The sequence below is a fragment of the Homo sapiens genome, chromosome 7, assembly GCF_000001405.40.
Source record: "Homo sapiens chromosome 7, GRCh38.p14 Primary Assembly".
Classification (NCBI taxonomy): Eukaryota; Metazoa; Chordata; class Mammalia; order Primates; family Hominidae; genus Homo; species Homo sapiens.
Window position 1 is genome coordinate 85,750,053 of NC_000007.14, and position 1,847 is coordinate 85,751,899.

General features: G+C 44.9%; 1 annotated feature.

The window, feature by feature from the left end:
* Positions 370 to 429: an enhancer, noted in NCBI's record as "active region_26220". NCBI's record gives its function as "activates an Ori minimal core promoter by ATAC-STARR-seq in GM12878 lymphoblastoid cells {active_cell/tissue: GM12878}" and the evidence as "EXISTENCE:reporter gene assay evidence [ECO:0000049][PMID:35858748]".

Sequence of the window (1,847 nt, forward strand, 5' to 3'; positions counted from 1 at the left end):
CGGCCACACCTGCTAAAGGTTTTAGCTCAGTGGTTCCACTTCTGCCTGAACTCTGCAGGAAGGCACAACACCTTTCCCCCCACAGGAAGCATCTACATAGCAGAACAGGTGAATCCACCCACCCAGGCAGCTCCTAACTGAGCAGGATTTGAGGGTGTGGGCAGTGCTAAAGCAGGTGGGAGCCCTCATTCTCAGATCACTGTGAAATGTGACACCTGGGTTCCTAGGGTGGTTGGTGGAGGAACGAGGTGTGCCTCCCTCTACAGGGCCCACCTGACAAGGATACGACCTGCCTGCCAAATGTGGCCCCTGCCTGAGGGAGCCTTGTGGACCAGAATGCCCAACAAAAAAAATGCAAGCACGGTGCCTATAATCGGAGGGGGCACCTCCAAGGCCCAGGAGTAGACCAGGTGAGGGGGTCACCTCTCTCCCTCCTCACAACATACCACTACTGCTAACCGCACCAAAACACACAAGAGTCATACAGTGTACTAAGAACCTCTCCGCTAACAGTCTTAAGCGCCACCTGCTGGATTGCAGCCCAAAATACAACGCCAAAATATTTTGCTCCCTTATAGTGCCTATTAAAACTAAGGCAAAGGTTCCTGACAGACCCCTACCCTAACCAACGCACATGCACCTCACACCGCTGCTGCAGTTGCTGACACGGCGCGAGTGACCACGGATCCCACTGCCACGTCCCTACAAAGCGCTCTGGCGGGCAACTTCCAATAGAATATTGAGGCCAGCACACTGGAAACACCTTGGCCCCTTCAGCCTAGCAGATTCCTAACCCCAAAGAACCAAAGAACAAAGCCAGGCACCTGTTATCAACCCCGTAAGTTAGAATATGCAGCCTAGGAGTGCTGAGGTGAGCTTTGACCACCTGAAATCTTACAGAAACAAAACCAATCGACAGAACAAGCCAGTCAATTAAACCCACAATCAAACTTCCAAGCACATCAAAAAAGGTAAAGACAGAAACTCCTGTGCAATGGACCTCAACTTCAAAGATTAAAGGAACAACATCCCCACAAATAAGAAAGAACCAGCACAAGAACTCTGGCAATTCAAAAATCCAGAGTGTCTTCTTACTTCCCAAACACTGCACTAGTTCCCTAGCAATGGCACCAGACTGAAATGGCTAAAATGACAGATGTAGAATTCATCATATAGATAGGAAGAAAGATCATTGAGATTTGGGAGAAAGTCAAAGCCCAGTCCAATGATTCTAAGGAATACAACAAAACAATACAGGCGATGCAAGATGAAATGGCTATTTTAAAGAAAGCCAAATTGATCTAATAGAGCTGAGAATATCACTTCAGAAATTTTATATATAATCTCAAGTATTAACAGCAGAATCAACCAAGTTGAGAAAAGAATCTCAGAGCTCTAAGACTGGTTCTCTTAAATAACTCAGTCAGATAAAAATAAAATTTAAAAAATGAACAAAACCTCTAAGAAATATGGGATTATGTAAAGAGCCCAAATCTGCAATTCATTTTTGTCCCTGAAAGGAAACAGATAAAGCAAGAAACTTGGAAAACATATTTGAGGACATAGTCTATGAAAATTTCCCAACCTCACCAGAGAACATTCAAATTCAGCAAATACTCACTCAGGTACAACAGTAGAAACCTCCTGCGAGATACTGTACAAGACGGCCATCCCCTAGACACATACTCATCGGATTTTCCCAGGTTGAAATGAAAGAAAATGTTAAAGGCAGCTAGAGGGAAGAGGCAGATTATCTACAAAGAGAATCCCATTAGGCTAACAGTGGACATTTCAGCTGAAACCATACAAGCCAGAAGAGATTGGGGACCTCTATTCAGTATTATTAA